The 19,099-nt window shown below is 43.5% G+C and overlaps 1 long non-coding RNA gene across 1 annotated transcript; it reads left to right on the forward strand.

Moving 5' to 3' along the window:
• Positions 1–6,292: 6,292 nt before the first annotated feature.
• Positions 6,293–15,822, forward strand: LOC105369913 (uncharacterized). Its single transcript, XR_945223.3, has 4 exons — positions 6,293–10,112; positions 10,583–10,804; positions 14,731–14,862; positions 15,626–15,822. It is a non-coding gene; the product is annotated as an uncharacterized LOC105369913 (long non-coding RNA).
• Positions 15,823–19,099: the final 3,277 nt, after the last annotated feature.

The raw sequence follows: 19,099 nt of genomic DNA on the forward strand, positions 1-19,099 counted from the left end.
TCAGGAAAACTGGAAAGACCATGCTTGTCTTTTAGGTATAAGAATTAGGGAACCCAGTTGAATGGTCCCTTTTGGGGAACAGGGAAAAGGGGTTTGTTTCAGCTTCCTCAATCTCTTTCTGGACCACAAACTCCTTCGGAATGGAACTGGTCAATTCCAAAAAGGATTGTCCCTGGAATAGAATTACAAGTCCCTGGTCCCAGTTCAATCAGTCTGGATGAGCATGATTTTGCTATTGTAACAAAGAGCACCCCAATTCTAAGTGTTTTAAAACAACAAAGGTTCATTTCCAGCTCATGCCACAGTTCCAGCATGTATTGCCAGTGTTCTCTGCCCCACGGCATCCCACTCTAGGACTCAGGCTGATGTCTCCAGACTGGCAGCCAAAGAAAGAGAACATGGAAAAATTGCAAAACAGCCCTTAAACGTTTTTGCCAAAAAAGTGACCAACCTCACCTCTGCTCATTTTTTGTTGGCCAGACCACATCTCACACCACAGAATCTGTCCCTCCCATGTGCCCAAAGTGAAGGGGAACTGGATAGATATCAGATATCGATGAACATAGTAATGTTTATCACTCTAATTAGCTTTGGCTGCTTTACTAACTTGGTTCTGATTTATTTGCTTCCCTGTTAGCATTTGGAACATGATGTAATTTCCTTCCACTTCACCTCTCTCCTAACTTGACAACATCCCTAATATTCTCTGAAATCTGTGCATGGGAACTAAGCTCCTCAGCAGTACAATTTTTTTCCCTGAAATCTAAGGCTTTCTGCAAAGAGGCACCTTCAGTGTTGTCAAGATTAAGTTTGTTTTTCCTCCTGAGTTTTCCACCTCACCCAGCCCCCACCCAGGTCTAGTTGTAAAATGTATCTGCATGTTTTAAAAGCTCATTATGTAAATGTATCAGAGTCCTTATCCATCAACAGATAATTTAAAAGACTCTATACATATTTATGAGTTCGCTTAATATGGCTTTAATGAGGAGGTTTACTAGAAATACCAAATCAAGGAGGCAAGAAGAAAAACGATCACAAAGATGAGCATGAGTTTTCAGCCGTTCTTGGTAGTTCTGAGAGCTGTCAGAACATTCAAAGAGCTGCCAGAACTGAGGCTTCCTGTTAGCCTACCGTATATGGTAAAAAGCAGCTGGGGAAAGAGGTAAGTCATGTCGCTCAATATTTCTTTGAATCTAAGGCTAAACTTTTTTGGTTTGTTTCAAACTGAAGATATTTGATGAGCCAAAGTCTCATGTTTCCACCACCTCTAGAAGCAAAGTCACTGTGGGAGATGGTCAAAAGTCTGACATAGCCCCCAGCAATGTCAAATACATTCAGAGAGAGAGTCACAACTCTAGCCCATGTGGCTCCATTGTGGTAATTAGATAGAGGTGCTTCCTAGGCGATGAGGAAAACTTGTGTCTCCCTCCAGCAGACAAAGCTCTAAAGGTACTTGGCTTGGTGAGGAGAAGGTGACAGAGAGGTAGGTACCCCTTATTCCAGGTGGATAAAGTCAGTGAATGAAGCCTAGTGCCAGGACAAGCAGCTAGGTGAGTGGGACGTGGGCTAGAATTTAGCCTTCATGTGCCCTGACAGCCAGGCACATTAGTTTAGTGCATAATCTGCATAGTGGCAGTCCTGTCAGAAACTCATGAGTTCTCACCAACAGCTGGTCAAAGTCTGTAGGAACAGAAGACTTTTCCTCATTCTACCAACTACTCTCTCTTGTTTACCCAAATGTCTGCTCAACCCCACCTCTGGGGCCTCTTAATTGCACCTCTCTTCATTATTTACACACATTTTATTGGCCAGACCTCAGTCACATGGCACCACCAAAGTCCAGAGAAAAATGGGAAGTGTTGGCTCACTGAGTGACCAGAAAGAAAAGGAAATCAGGTTTGATGATCACATAGCATTGTCATTGTCTGCCACAATTTACCTATCTGATCACCAAACATTCATTTCACTCCTTTCCCCTCATATAGAACACATGCATCCCAAATGAGACACCCTATTTTTAGGGTCTTTTGACCATGTAGATACTACAATCATCTCAAAGTCCAGGATCTCAGGGATGTTGTACAGTCCTCCCCATTGGGTCCAGATTGGCTCCCTGTGATCTGGTGACTTGTGAACTAGAAGACAAGTTATCTGCCCACCCCACCCCCTACACACTGGTGGATTAGAAAGAGGATATCCAAAATTAAAACTCCCATTCAGTCAAGGGAACCAAAAAAGAAGCTGTCTTTGCCCATAGCAATTCTGAAATCCTGGCTGTGGGGGAAGTTCCTTGATTTGACCTAATGCTGGACTCTAGGAAGCACTGCCTTGTGTGTCACTCTCCTTTGCATGTCCAAGCTGGAATGCTGACTAGTGTGTTCTCTTGGGAAGCTCCACCGCTATGGGACCCTGGTTCCTCCTGGAGCAAGTTTAGAGGTCTAAGGTTATTTTGCAAGTTCAATAGTTGAAGGCTTTTTTTTTTCTTTTAAATTCACGCTTGTCAGTTCTTGGCTTAAACATAGTACATACCCAAAGGAATATAAATCATTCTATTACAAAGATACCTGCAAGCATATGTTCATCACGGCACTATTCATGATAGCAAAGATATGGAATCAACCTAAATGCCCATTGACAACAGACTGGATAAAGAAAATGTGGTACATATACACCATGGAATACTATGCAGCCATAAAAAAGAATGATATCATGTCCTTTGCAGGGACATGGATGAAGCTGGAAGCCATTATCCTCAGCAAACAAATGCAGGAACAGAAAATCAAACACTACATGTTCTCACTTATAAGTGGGAGCTGAACAATGAGAAAACATGGACACAGGGAGGGGAACAACACTGGCGCCTGTTGGGGGTGGGGTTGGGGAGGGATAGCATTAGAAAAAATAGCTAATGCATGCTGGGCTTAATAACTAGGTGATGGGTTGATAGGTGCAGCAAACCACCATGGCACATGTGTACCTATGTAACAAACCTGCACATCCTGCACATGTACCCCAGAACTTAAAATAAAAATAAAAAATAATAAAGTGTATAGTTCAATGGCTTTTAGTGTACTCACAAATCTGTGCAACCGTCACCACAATTTATTTTAGAACATTGCTATCATCCCCTAAAAGAAACTCTATGCCCTTAGCTGTCACTCCCCAATTCCTCCTCTGTCCCCTATCCTAGCCCAAGGCAATCACAAATCTATTTCTGTCTCTGCAGATTTTCCTATTCTGGATATTACAAACAAATGGAATTATACATGTGGCCCTTTGTGACTGGTTTCTCTCACTTGGCATAATTTTTAAAGATTCATCAATATAATAGTAGCATGTATCAGTACTTTATTTCTTTTTGTGCCCAAATAATATTCCATTGTATGGATATACCACATTTTATTTTTCCATTCATTAGACAGTGTACATTTGGGTTGTTCCCACTGTTAACTATTATGAACAATGCTGCTATGAATACTCGTATACAAGGCCATGAGTGGTGGCCCATGCCTGTAATCCCAGCACTTTGGGAGGCCGAGACAGGCAGATCACTTGAGTTTAGGAGTTTGAGAAAAGCTGGGCAACATGGCAAAACCCCATCTCTACAAAAAATACAAAAATTAGCTGGGCGTGGTGGCATGTGCCTGTAGTTTCAACTACTTGGGAGGCTGAGGTAGGAGGATCACTTGAGCCCAGGAGGCAGAGGTTGCAGTGAGCCTTGATCGTGCCACTGCACTCCAGCCTGGGTAATAGAGCAAGAATTTGTCTCAAAACAAAAACAAAAACAAAAACATGTACAAGATTTTCTGTGGACATGTTTTCATTTATCTTGGCCATATGCTTATGTATGGAATTGCTGGATCATGTGGTAATCTATGCCCAACTTTTTGAGAAACTACTAGACAATTTTCCACAGTGGCTGCACCATTTTACATTCCCGCCAGCTGTGTATGAGCATTCCAATTTTTCCACATCCTCACCAACACATGTTATTACCTGTCTTTTTATTATAGCCATCTCAGTGGGTGTGCAGTGGAATCCCACTGTGGTTTTCATTTGCATTTCCCTGGTCGCTAATGCAAGCCCTTCTTATGCTCACTAAGAACTCACTATCTGACGAACTCTGGGCAAATTATTTAACTTTTCTGTGCCTCTGTTTCTTCATCTGGAAAATGATGATAATAGTATTCTCTACCTCATAGGGTTGTTGTGGTGATTAAATGGGTAATTTGTGTGACCTGTGCCTGACACAGTGCAAGTCCTCACTAGATGTTAGCTCCTGTTTATAGAAGAACAGCACTGGAAATTTGAGCCACCTGTTTCTGTGAGTTACATCTTAACCACTGACAAGACCCCAGTTCCTGATGAAAAATAGAAAGTTTCGCAGGCTTAGATTTTTAGAAACAAAATAGACACTAGTTCTGACATCCCAAGCCCATCAAAAAGTGTTTATGATACATAATGAAAGTTGAGACTTATTCCAGCACAGATTTGGATAAATGGGTACCATCTAGGCATTCCAGGGATGCACTGGCAGTGAGATTGAAAGGGAGAAAAAAATCTGATAGCTCTGGATTGAACTATTTAACAATAAATGTCTCTTCTTGAGAGTAAGCCCTCTGAAGATCAGCTTCTAATTGCCAACATCATTTTCTACCTTCTGTACAAAGTCAACCCTTCCACATAGCCTACCAAGCAGGGCTTGCTGCACATCTGCATCATGACTGTGCAAATTAGAAAAGGGCGCTTTTACAATATGAGCCAGGGTGGATGGCTTGGTGAGTTGAGCATGGGCTGAATTTTACCCACACCAGCCCGCTTGGTTGGGCACCCTTTTGCAGTGCACAACCTGAACAACCATATATGAGCAGCCCTGCTACCAAGCACTCTGCATTCCAGAGAGTAGGTAACTCTCTGTATATTAATAACTAGATAGTCCTAGTCCTGGTGAATATAAGAATCTTGGCAATCAGGAAGTTACTTGCCATAAATCAAATAATGAGTTGCCAAAATCTCCTCACTCTTCATAATCTAGAGGAAGAAACAACTATAGGAGCAATAAATGACTGATAGAGCCTTTGTCTGGCATAATGGAGATATAAGCCAACAAAACTCAGGTATACACAATTCAAGCCAAAGCCAGAATTCAATGCCGAACTCATTCATCTCCATTTCAGTACCTAATCCAGAAAGCCTGGATGCCCTTGGAATCCCGCAAGATAGAATATAGCACCAACAAAGAACTGGAGGTTTGCAGCTCAGAGCTGCAGGCAAACTGCATACCATGGGGCCAAACCATCTTCCAGCAACACATCCTGCTTCTTTAGGCACTTGACAGAGCCAACTTTAACACAGACTTTGAGAAGTGGCCCTGATGAAACCCTGGCCAACAGCCAGCCAGCCACTACCCAAAAATGTCTGCCTGAAAGCAGCTCCAGGAGGCAGGCCATGGGGAGTGGAAGTCGGGGAGAAACTGGAAGAGGCGCCAAGCAGCTGTCAGGGGAAGTGATGACACGGAGCAACACCAACTCTTATTTTCTTTTCCCCCCAGCTTCAAATGATGTGGCACAGTGGTGGCTTGCCGAGAAACTGCAGTCACAGATGGAATAGCAGTGTTCAGAAAGAAAGATGGTACATGCACAGAAAGGAAAAGCAATAGATTACAGCAGGTAGTACATAAACATGGGCACAACTCTAATAATGGTAATAATTATTTATAATAAATAAATAGACTAATAAAGTTACTAATAAATTGCTAAACCTGTACTGTGCCCTTTACTTATATTATCTCACTTGCATTAATAAGGAACCCAACAATCCTAAGAGGTGAGTGTTATTAACACAAGTTTCTTATAGGTGAGAATGCTGAAACACAAAGAGGCTAAATGACTTATCCAAGATCCCACAGCTCCCAAGTAGTGGAGACTGAATCTGGAGCCCTGTGGTCTGAATTCAAAACCCAAGCTCTTAACTACAGCCCTATCTTGTTTCTCAAAGGACTATCTATGGGTAGACATGAGGTGTAGTAACGATTGGGGTCACCTGTGAGTCTGTGAGTCACAATCACACACCCTGGGCACATTTTCCATCTGCATTACGCCATTCTTGCGTTGCTATAGAGAAATACTTGAGACTGGGTAATTTATAATGAAAAGATATTTAATTGGCTCTTTAGGCCAATTAAGCCTCTGCAGGCTTTATAGGAAGCATGATGCTGGCATCTGCTCAGCTTCTAGAGGGGCCTCGGGAAGCTTACAATTATGGTGGAAGGTGAAGAAGGAGCCGACACAACACATGGCAAAAGCAGGAGCAGGAGAGAAAGAGCGAGAGACAAATTGGATGGGGAAATGCCACACACTTTTAAATGACCAGATCTCATGAGAACTCACTATCAGGAAGACAGCATGAAGCCCTGAGGGATTCGCCTCCATGAGCCAAACACCTCCTACCAGGCCCCACCTCCAGTACTGGGAATTACAATTCAACATGAGATTTGGGAGGGAACAAATATCCAAACTCTATCACCATCCATCTATCCACAAATGAATACATACAGTTATTTAAGGAATATTTGTTGTGCTCAGCTCTTTGTATACATTGTTACATTAAATATTCCCCAAAACTCTTAAGAGTTTGGGAAATACATTAAGAATAAAACACGGTCCCTGCAAAAATGGTTGCAATAGTATCTTCCACCCCTCATGTATTTTGCAATGTGACTCTGTCAATCCTCTCATTAAGAGGTAGAATCTATTTACCCTCACCTTGAATCTGAGCTGGTGTGTGACTTGCTTTGATGAATACATTACATTAGAGGGGATATTCTGAGATTCAAAGTCCAAGGTTTAAGAGGACTGGCAGCTTTCACTTTTCTTATATCCCAGCTACCATGTATTAGTTTGACTACTCTGAGGCCACCATGCTGCAAAGAAGCCCAAGCTAGACGTGTAAAGAAGGAGTGGTCATATACATATACATATATACAGAGAGAGAGAGAGGTTTAAAGAATTAGTTCATGCAGTTATAGAGATTGGTAAGTCTAAAATCTGCAGGGTGGGCCAGCAGGCTGGAGACCCAGGGAAGAGCTGATATTGCAGTTCAAGTCCAAAGGCCATCTATTGGAGAATTCCTTCTTGTTTTGGTAAAGTCAGTCTTGTATTTGATTTGGGCCTTCAACTAATTGGGCAAGGCCCACCCATCTGATGGAGGGCAATCTGCTTTATTCAAAGTCTACTAATTTAAATGTTTATCATGTCCAAAAGTACCCTCACAGAAACACCAGGATAATGTGTGACAAAATATCTGGGCACTGTGGTCCAGGCAATTTGACACATAAAATTAACCATCTTATAGTCCAACCCAATCACTAGCATAATATATTTGAGTGACCCCTGCTGACACCATGTGGAACAGAAGAACCACCCAGCTGAGCCATGCCCAAATTCCTGGCTTATAGGATCATGAAAACTAATTAATTGTTGGTTTTGAGCTACTAAGTTTTGGGGTCATTTGTTATACAGCAACAGAAAATTGAAAACTGCCTTAATGAAGGTTACAATTTAGTGGCCTTAATCAACAGTAAGCATATAGATGTATAATTATATAATTTGATACATATTAAGAACACTTCATTGCATTTATTAAAAACCCACTAGGTAAAATTTTCCATGGTAGTGTCAGACAAGGCTATGGTGACAAGATCTTCCTTTTACAGGCTCTGACTAATTTGTAGTGGTGGCTGAGCAAACCACTGACCCTTTCTGGACCTTGGCTTCTCCATCTATAAAATGGACATGGCAGCAGACAGCCTCTCTGCCTCACAGGCTCTTATGAAAATTAAGTGGGACAAGAAACAAAAGTGCTATCAATGCTGAAAAGTCCTCTGCAAACTACGTCATAACCGAATAAATGATCCCTTGTGCCAAAAATGCAAAAATGTTTCACAATTTATTGCTTAAGCGGAAACATCTGGCTAAGGAAACTTGAAAAAGGCAGCAACCTTTCCGACCAAAGCAATTTCATCTAATAGCTGGTCTCTGGAGTCTCCCCTTCAGCTCTGATTTGTCCGTTGCTGAGAATTTCACTTTAAAATATGTGAGCCTTGCACTTTTTTTTTTTTTTTTTTGCACTTCTGCTTTCTCTATATTTTTGACAAGGTTAGAAAAGGAAAACCTTAAACATGATAAATATCCATTGTTGGGCATTCCAGCTAACGTATAGGAATTGTGTCCATAAATTTATTCACCAATGTCTTTTAATTGTAGAGCAAACTGGAGGGAACCAGAATTACATAGGAATCTTAGAAGCAACCTCAGCAGGCTACAATTAGTCTACAATGAATGAGTTTCCCACCTGGCTTACAAGACAGTGAACCCAGAAGCCAAATCCAACCACATTTTGCACCTGTTTAAAAACTTGTTAATGACTTACAGTGCCCTCTTTATAAAGACCAAGCTCCTTGGCATAGCACTGAGGTCCATTCCAGTCTGACCGTTCCTTACCTCTCCATCCCTGCTGCTCACCGCTCACCTTCTTGGGCTTCTAGTGTTAATGCAACTGTCTCATCTCTGGCCTCTGTGTATACTAATCTCCCACCTAGTACACTTTCCCGCATCCATCCTTGCCTAGCTAACTCCTTTGTCCTTCATATCTGACTTTAGATGCCCTCTCTGAGAAATCTTCCCTAAACCCCTAAGACTGGATTTCATGTTTCTTGTCTTTTACCCCTTACCACTAAGGTGGTCTTACCTCTAAGGTGTCAGATGATAATTTCCAAAAAGTTAAAGGTGTGACTCTCATGCAAATACATCAAAGTCTATGCCAAAGATTTATTTAACTCGTTAATGAGAGAACCAGCAGGATGATAAAGTTGGATTGAAGGAACCTATAAGAAGCTGAGTATATACAGAATAGTCAGTGAAAGCAAGGATGCTGAAGTAAGACTGCTGACCTAGGTACAAAACTGAATAATGTCCTAGAAGCAACACAATTATAACCCTTTGGAACTGTTTATTCCAATGGAGAGAAATCATTTACATCTCTGCCAGACAAAAATCATTTGCAACTTATCAATTTCCTACAAATTAAGATCTAACTTTTCAGGATCTAGACCATAAGAATTTGTGATAGTGAGCCAAATCAAGGATTTCAGATGACGCTTGGGCTGGCCCATTAGACAAGGCTTTAGAATGACACTGAAGGACACACAGACATCTTGCTGGGTAATTTTTAATGTGCGTGTGTGTGTGTGTGTGTGTGTGTGTGTGTGTGTGTGTGTTTACCAGTGACATCAATACTCCTTTGTAACTACCTGTTATCTTGTCTGAAATTCCCAGTAAACTGAAAGCATCTAGGGACAACAATTGTGTTTTGTTTACTCTTGTAGCCTCTGACCCTAGTTTAGTGCCTAAGATATAGTAGGCACTCAGATAGTTATTACTGAATGAGTTAAAAGACTTCTCTTTCAGCATTGAGGTCCCCCCTTCAAGGAGCCTACCAGTTTCCCACAGATCCAGATTATGAATGATGAGGATTCTAGGCATTGATTCCAGCCCAATCTTTCCCCAACTCCAGCCAAGTGTCCCCTGTGACCCGCATCCCCTCAGTCATTTCTCCTGCTTTGTTCTACTGCACAAGCCCTAATAGTCACCTGGATGATCAGGCACAGAAGGCAGCAAGAAAGAAGCATGTCTCTGTGCAAGAAGCAGGGTCTCGCTTTTCAGGGCCCCCTGCCTAGCCCCAGTCCCAGCAGATTGGCTAGAACTGAGGCCTGATGCCTGGTGCTGCCTCTGGGAGCACAAGGGCTCCTTCTGTTCCTGGATTCAACTCCTCAGGGACAGCTACTGGGGCTCCAGGCACGTTGCTCATCATTCTAACTGGCTCACAGGGCAGCCAGATTTTCTCACAGATAATGAGCCTGTATAATTTACATCAAGACTAAATTATGCATTTAACAACGTGTTGTTCAGCAGGGATAAACTGCCTGGTTTGTGAATTGCTTTTCTTCCCACAGGAGGGAGGTACAACAGAGGGAGTGGAGACGGGGTGCACTCCACACACCTTCCAGTTATGAGGGGTCTGGAAAAGTCTGGAAAGAAAGGAATTGAAATAGCGTGAGTGAGAGTGACATTACCCACTTCGTATGTTGCCATTGTCAATCCTGTAATGGTCTCGGAAAGAGCTCAGAAAGAAACAGGGAGTTGTCTGGGTTCAGACAAAAACCACAGGGAAGAGTTTCAGACTTCTTGGCTAAGTCTTAGGCTCCACTCACCCCAGGGGTGTTGGTAGAAAGTGGATTAGGACTGTGTGAAAAGGCAGCAGAGAAAGATCAGAAACACACCAACAAAGGCTCTGCGTGCTCTTAGAAGCAGGGCAGGTCACTGGAAAAGCTGGGAAGTGCATGCAGTTTGCCTTTAGAGCTCCAAGTTTGCTCTTTCTGGGCCTCCTCCCTACTCTAGGGAACCTCTTTCATGGCAAGTGCTCCCTCCAGTTCTGCCTACCCCACCCCCCAAACCCTGGGGTTCACCATTTACCCTTTTATTGTGAATTTGAAAGCTGTGTATTTTCTCTCTCTCTCTTCCAGAGACATCCACACTGAAGCTTTTCCTCTGAAAAAGGAAAATAATGTGACCAAATAATTTATCATCCATCCAAGAACATTTTTGAGTACTCTTAAAAATTACACCAGAACCACAGGAATAAACCACAGCTGCTCTGGAAGGGTCCTGGGCAAGCTGGACCTAAGAGCACCCCAGAAATGAAAGTCTTTGTTTCTTTTTAAAAAATTGTTGACATCACTGAACAGGTGAAAAGGGCTCTCTGATTCTTTCCAAAGGGGAGAGTAATGAGAAAGGATGAAAAGGAGCAGAGATGTATCAGTTAAGATGCTTTCAATTGCACATAACTGAGTAGCCAGAGATAATGGGCTTAAATTAAAGGGATTTCTTTGTCTCACATAACAGTGGTCCAGTGACAGGTGGATCAATGGCTCAACCATAGCAGGTGTATTAGTCCATTCTCATTCTGCTAATAAAGACATATGCAAGACTGGGTAATTTATAAAGGGAAAAAAGAGGTTTAATGGACTCACAGTTCCACATGGGTGGGGAGGCCTCACAATCATGGTGAAGGCAGAGGAGCAAGGACACGTCTTACATGGCAGCAGGCAAGAGAGTGTGTGCAGGAGAGCTCCCCTTTATAAAACATCTTATGAGACATATTCACTATCATGAGAACAGCATGAGAAAGACCTGCCCCCATGATTCAATTACCTCCCACCGAGTCCCTCCCACCACACGTAGGGATTATTAAAATTAGAGGTGAGATGTGGGTTGGGACACAGCCAAACCATATCATCAGGGCTTCTCAGAGACTCTCCCTCACTACTGCAAGATGGCTGCTAAGGCTGCATATATAATGTCTTGACAAATGCACATACAAAATGCTAGGAAGGAGGAGTCATGGCTTTTCCTCTTATCTATTTCCCTTATCACATGGAATATATCTTGCCCAGGCTGGGCGCAGTGGCTCACACCTGCAATCCCAGCACTTTGGGAGGCCAAGGCAGGTGGATCACGAGGTCAGGAGTTCGAGACCAGCCTGGCCAAGATAGTGAAACCCCATCTCTACTAAAAATAAATAAATTAGCTGGGCGTGGTGGCGGATGGCTGTAATCCCAGCTACTCGGGAGGCTGAGGCAGGAGAATCACCTGAACCTGGGAGGTGAAGGTTGCAGAGAGCAGAGATTGCGCCACTGCACTCCAGCCTGGGTGAGAAAGTGAGACTCCATCTCAAAAAAACAAAGGGAAAAGAATATATCTTGCCCAGAAACTCTCCAGCAGAGCTCTCCTCTGGTTTAATTGGCCAATATTGGGTCACATGACTATTGTCATAGTTGCAAGGGAGGCTATGGAATTGAGAATCTGCATTTTCTGCCTCTATGGGCAATGAACTGTGCTGGCCTGAGAAAGGGTAAGAAAATGGCTACTTGGTGAGCAACCAACAGCATCCTCCAGAAATAACCTCCCCCTAGGCCTTATACTAAATCCCACGAGTCCTGCCTAGAAAATAACATTCAACTGGGCTCCCAGTGAGAAACACAGAGTTTCAAGCAGACAATCTTCTATAAGTTAATATCCCCAATGAGATCCTGAGAAGTTAGCTATGAATCTACTCAGATGTCCCCACTGATTGCCATGGTCTTTTCAGAAATGCTTGGTCTTCATTCTGGTTCTCTGCTGCCCTTGGTTTCTAAGCCTTTATCTGGGAGTTGTTGTCCTCCTGAGTCTGACAAGAAGTCAGGGATCTCTAAGAGGGGACTGGAATATGCCAGAGGGGGTCGGGGACAGGCGAGTGCTATCTACCATCAACACTTGGGCCTCCAAAGGGTACACTTGGATGGAGCCTTGAAGTCTGACGAGGAATTTCAATCTGACCAGATTTAAAACAGATTTTAATAGACAACACTTTCTGCAAAGGCCAATGAGGAAAACAAATCATCTTGGAAAAGCATTGGCTGAATCAAGAGATGAGACCCAAGTCCTGTGCCTGTCCTCCTCCTTCCTCTCAGGAATAGCCACTGTTCCCTGGGAGCTAACTCTGAGCCAGATTTGGAGCTAAATTCATTTAATCTTCTCAGCATTTCCATGAAAGGGGTACATTGTTATCATCACTTAGCAGATGGGAAAACTGAGTTTTAGCAAATTTCAATAACTTGCCCAAGGTAACTGTTTCCTAACTCTTAAGGTGAATAAAGGGCATAGTACAGGTCTAGCAAGTTATTAGCAATTTGATTAGCAAGTTTATTATTCATAATTATCATTAATGCTATTGCTCCCAACTCCTTATAGGTCCTATGTGATTTCCTCTTTCCTCTGTCCACTCTTCCCCTTGGTCACTATGCATCAGTGATACAGGCCTTATTTCCATTTCTCCACTGTCTCAAACCCTGTTCTGCCTCAGGACCTTTGTACTTCTTTCCACTGCCTGAAATGTTCTTTACCTAGCTCCTTCCTTTCTTCAAGCCTTAACTCAAAAAGCTTTCCCTAACCACCCTAAGGTCCCCCCTTATTTTCTGTAACAGCACCCTGACTATTTCTTTTGTTGGGTTTATCATTGATATTGTCTTCTTATTTGCTTGTTCATCTCTTTCAAACTCTGCCAAAGCCTCTCTGAGGTCAATTTATTATCAGTTATCACCTTTGGTTAGAACAATGCCCAACACATAATAGGTCCTTGGTAAATTTGCTGAATACCCTTGGCCGGGTGCAGTGGCTCACTCCTGTAATCCCAGCACTTTGGGAAGCTGAGGCAGGAGGATCACTTGAAGCCAGGACTAGCCTGGGCAACATAGCAAGACCCTGTCTGTACAAAAAAATAAAATTTTTTTAAGCTGCAACCCGAATCCAAGTTTGAGTAGCTCAAAAGCCTGTAGCTATGATCACCTAACTAGGAGTTTCTTGGAACACAAATTAGAAAACCGTGATCTAATCTAACCTCTCATTTTAAAGATATGAAAATAAGGCCAAAAGGGTTTTTTTCCCCTTAAGATTATAAAGTAAATTAGTAGCTGAGTTAAAAAAAAAGAAAGAAAGAAAGAAAAAAGAACATTGGCATTGGAAACTGAAGACTCCACTTTACAAGTCAAACCGCCCTTGAAAAGCCAGTTAATATATCTAGCCTCAGTTTTCTCATTTGTAAAATATCGATAAGGCAGCCTACTTCACAAAACAATTTTGAGGCCTGCATGAAATCAGGTAGGCAAGAGGCCAGCACAGTGCCCAGTCCACAGTAAGCGCTCAGGAAAGGACAGCTTCACTTGAATCCCAGGCTAGTGTTCTTCATTTCCACCATGTTCTCACAGTGAGTGAACCCCTTCACAACATGATACATTACTCTCAACAGATCACTTTTGCACGGGCATGTTTTTGCACTCAGTTTCCTTTATTTTTTTCCTTTTTTTTTTTGAGATGGAGTCTCCCTCTGTCGCCCAGGCTGGAGTGCAGTGGCACGATCTCGGCTCACTACAAGCTCTGCCTCCCGGGTTCACGCCATTCTCCTGCCACAGTCTGCTGAGTAGCTGGTACTACAGGTGCCCACCACCACGCCCGGCTAATTTTTTGCATTTTTTAGTAGAGACGGGGTTTCACCATGTTAGCCAGGATGGTCTTGATCTCCTGACCTCATGATCTGCCCACCTCGGCCTCCCAAAGTGCTGGGATTACAGGCGTGAGCCACGGCACCTGGCCTGCACTCAGTTTCTTATGGCAGGACTACGGGAGACTCATCAAACAATACATGAGTAGAGTCCTGTCTCAGTTCGTTTCTGCTGCTATAACACAATATCCAAGACTGGGTAATTTGCAAAGAACAGAGATTTATTTTCTCACAGTCCTGGAGGCTGGGAAATCCAAGATCAAGGCACCAACACATTCAGTGTCTGCTAAGGGCTACTCTCTGCTTTCAGATGGTGCCTTATTGCTATGTCCTCGTATGGCAGAAGGCAGGACAAAAGGGATCTAGTTAGTTCCCTTGAGCTCTTTTATAAGAGTACTCATCCCATTCGTAACAGGCAGAGCCTTCATGACTTACTCATCTCCTAAAGGCCCCACCTCTTAATGTTATCACATTGGCAGTTAAGTTTCAACATATGAATTTGTTGGGGGGAGGGGAGAGGGAACACATTCAGACCACGGCAGGTCCTAACAACTTATTTGTGAATTCCTGGTTCAGAGCTCAGTGTGCAGCCCACTGTATCAAGTCCTAGACCAGCCAACGAAAGCTGCGTTGAACCTATCCTGCAGCAGAAACACTGGTGAAGAAGCCTGGAGAAACAGAGGCCTGCAGTACCCAGTAACTAACCAGGTAGAAAAGCAGCCATCTGGTGTGTCAGGACTGGGGTGAGTGGGGTGACAGAGAGTTGTGAAGGGAAAGTGGAAGTGGAGGCAGGTGACTACACCTTCAGCTGACCTGAAGTCAGCTGACGTGACTTCAGCTGATGTGATGAAATCCAGCTGGTTTCCCAGGCTGGGATGCCTTTTGCTTTCCACAATAGGAATGGCCAGTAGCTGCCAGCCCGTGGTGGAAAGAAGCAACTGGAGATTGCAAACTCTCCTCTGCTCTCTCAACAGGCAATAGGATATTGGGGTTGCCACTGCAGGTTCTAGGGTCACAAAAACACAGGTTCAAATTCTACCTCTGCCCCTTACCAACTGTGCTACATTGAACATATAACCTGAATTTCTCCCTGCCTTGGTTTCCTCCTCTATGAAATGGGAATAACAACATAGCACTGAGTTATCGAGGTTCAAAAGAAATAATACCTGGGAGGCTCCCTGCATAGTTTTTGGCATAAACCTGGCTTCAATGAGATTAGCAATTGATATCAATTTACACAGTTCTAAATAGAGAAATTTTTCAAAGTAAAAGACTGAGAGATAGGGATACACAAAGGCACACAAAGACAGGTAATTTTGCTTTCTCTGCTTGCCTTTTTGCACTTTGCAAGCAAGAAGGCAGGCAAGATTCGGCTTGTGCTCAGCTTTTATGGCCGCCTCATTTCAAAACAACCTCAGGCTACAGAGATGGAACCTGCAGCTTTCTCAGAAACCAAACTTTTCTGTTTCAGGCTGCACGAATGGAGCATGAGAACACCCTACAGCCTGTTATTTGCTGCATGTTTCTACGGGCACCAGCAAAGCACAACTTCTAGTAATGGGATCAGTAACCCAAGTGACGGAACTGAAAAGGCAAGTCTGAATTTATCTCCATCTGTCATGTTCCAGTGAACAATGAAAGCACAGTAAAGGGAAACGCTGCTTCTTGCATGTTTGTGCCAGTCCTTCCCTGCTAGGTACTATTATTAGCAGCATTAATAAATGCCTCTGACTTGCAGTAAAGGTTCAGAATGCTGGAGAGTTACAGGGCATGCCAAACACATAAACTGCCTGCCCTCAGGGCTGATGGGCACGAAGGCTATAAGATGAAGCCCAAATGGCAGAAACATTCTGACCAGGGAGGAGTGATTGCAGGTGAGGTAGGGAGATTTTTTTTCCAGGGCTGTGCTGGAAATGAAAGAGACAAGCCTTCGCGCCCACTATTTGGCTGCTCATCCTATTCTATTCTTGGGAAATCATTGGAGAGATGAGAGAAGACAAGTGACAGTCCACTTTGAATGTCACCTCTACCATCCTGGAGCCTTGGGAGAAAGCTAAAGATGTGTCCAGCCTTATGGCTAAATAAGGTTAAGCTGGGACAGAGACTGCTCATTGTTCTCCAGAGGCTATACTCTAACTTTTAGAAACACAGCTCTGAGTTAGCAGGGAACTCTTAAGACATGGGACTCCCCAGGGGTGAGCTAGAGACACCCACCCGGGACTCTGTGGCCGTAGGTGTGGTCACAGGATTGGGCTCTGGCCAACGGGTTGAGCACAGAATCGATGAGCACAACTTCCAAATCACAGTGTTTTTGGTGGTGGTGGTTGTTGTTGTTGTTGTTTTAATACAGAAACACCAAGCCTTCCATTCTTACTTTTCCCCTCCCACTGGCTGGAAAATTGGAAGAACTGAAGGAGCCACCTCAGGCCCAGGAAAAAAAACCACATTCTGAAAGTTGCACGTCTATCCAGCCAGCAACCAACCACACCAGCTCTAAACCTCTCACCTTCCTCTGCTCCATTGCATGGAATAAAAGCAAACTTCTCTCCTACTTAAGGCACTCTGTTTTGGAGTCCCTTTCTTATAGAAGCTTATCTGATACCACATTCACAGATGTGGCTTTGAACTTGAGTAAGAGAGAAGTGTCCTGTGTTTGTAAAAGGTTAAAAGTTTATCCACATTGCCTTCCTCTTGTTCCTCTCTCCGTCCCTCACCTGCTGGGCTCTAGCTGGACCGGCCACTTTTCTGTTCTTGAACTCCTTCACTTCTTCCCCACCTCAGAGTCCTTTGCCAGGAACTCTCTGTCTTGTCACTCTTCCCTTGGTTGACTCCTCACCCTCAGTTTACAAGTCACATTCTCAGAGAGACTTTCTTTGACCACCCTATATATATTCATTTTCTATGGTACATAACCAGTGACTGTAAACTTAGCAGCCGAAACACCACAAGTTTTTTTTTTTTTTTTTGAGACAGAGTCTCACCTTGTCGCCCAGGCTGGAGTGCAATGGCACAATCTCGGCTCACTGCAACCTCTGCCTCCTGGGTTCAAGTGATTCTCCTGCCTCAACCTCCCAAGTAACTGGGATTACAGGCGCACACCACCACACCTGGCTAATTTTTGTGTACCTTTAGTAGAGACAGGGTTTCACCATGTTGGTCAGGCTGGTCTTGAACTCCTGCCCTCATGATCTGCCCTCCTCGGCCTCCCAAAGTGCTGGGATTATAGGTGTGAGCCACCGTGCCAGGCCAACACCACAAATTTATTACCTCACGATTTCTGCAGTCAAAAGTATATGCCACATGTTATCTGGGTCTTCATCTCAGGATCTCACAAGCCTGCAGTCAAGGTGTCAACTGGCTGTATTCTCATCTGGAGGCTCAATGGGGAAGGGATCCACTTCCAAGTTTCCTTCTGGCTGTGTCACCAAGGTCCCTGTTCCCTTGCTGGCTGTCAGCTCCTAGAGGCCACTCTTGGCTTTTTGCCACACAGCTCCCTTCAAAGGCAGCTCACAACGATATGGCACCAATCCAATAAGATAGACTCTTATATAATGTAACCTACTCAAGGGTGACTATCTCATCATATTCATGGGCCTGCCCACATTCAAGGGGAAGGGATTGTACAGGGCAGGAAGTGGGTGGAGGGAACCAGCTCTTGGCAGCCATCTTAGAATTCAGCCTAGCACATGGGCAACGACTTCATGACTAAAACACCAAAAGCAATGGCAAAAAAAGCCAAAATAGACAAATGGGATCTAATTAAACTAAAGAGCTTCTGCATAGCAAAAGAAACTATCATCAGAATGAACAGGCAACCTACAGAATGGGAGAAAATCTTTGCAATCTACCCATCTGACAAGGGCTAATATCCAGAACCTACAAAGAACTTAAACAAATTTACAAGAAAAAAACAAATAACCCCATCAAAAAGTGGGCAAAGGATATGAACAGACACTTCTCGAAAGAAGACATTTATGCAGCCAACAGACATATGAAAAAATGCTCATCATCACTGGTCATCAGAGAAATGCAAATCAAAATCACAATGAGATACCATCTCACGCCAGTTAGAATGTCAGTCATTATAAAGTCAGGAAACAACAGATACTGGAGAGGATGTGGAGAAATAGGAACTCTTTTACACTGTTGGTGGGAGTGTAAATTAGTTCAACCATTGTGGAAGACAGTGTGGCGATTCCTCAAGGATCCAGAACTAGAAATACCATTTGACCCAGCAATCCCATTGTTGAGTATATACCCAAAGGATTATAAATCATGCTACTATAAAGACACATGCACACATATGTTTCTTGTGGCACTATTCACAATAGCAAAGACTTGGAACCAACCCAAATGTCCATCAGTGATAGACCGGATTAAGAAAATGTGGCACATATACACCATGGAATACCATGCAGCCATAAAAAAGGATGGGTTCATGTCCTTTTCAGGGACATGGATGAAGCTGGAAACCATCATTCTCAGCAAACTATCACAAGGACAGAAAACCAAACACCACATGTTCTCACTCATAGGTAGGAACTGAACAATGAACAGCTGCTCACACCAATATCCAGTCTTCACTTCTCCGCCCCCTCTCCAATGTGATCCTTGCGGTCATCCTTGATGACTCTCTCTCTTATCCCTCACATCCAATCCATCATTCAGTAGTGGCCACTTCTCACCTCCCCCAGCTCCCATCTTGCTCTCTTGCCCCTTCAATTTATTCTCTTCACAGTAGCTAGATAGGAGCTTTTAAAGCATGAACTTAGTCCCCTATTCAAAACCCTCCGGAATCCCCCTTCTCATTTGGAGGAAAATCTAGTTTTGCAAAGCCTATATGCACTTGGGCACTCCAGTCCCCACCTGTCCACCCTGAGCCTGCCCTGGCTCTCTCTATGGCAGTCTTACTGGTCTCCTTGTGGTTCTTTTTTTTTTTGAGACA

This window comes from Homo sapiens, chromosome 12 (assembly GCF_000001405.40).
Source record: "Homo sapiens chromosome 12, GRCh38.p14 Primary Assembly".
In the NCBI taxonomy this organism is placed as follows: Eukaryota; Metazoa; Chordata; class Mammalia; order Primates; family Hominidae; genus Homo; species Homo sapiens.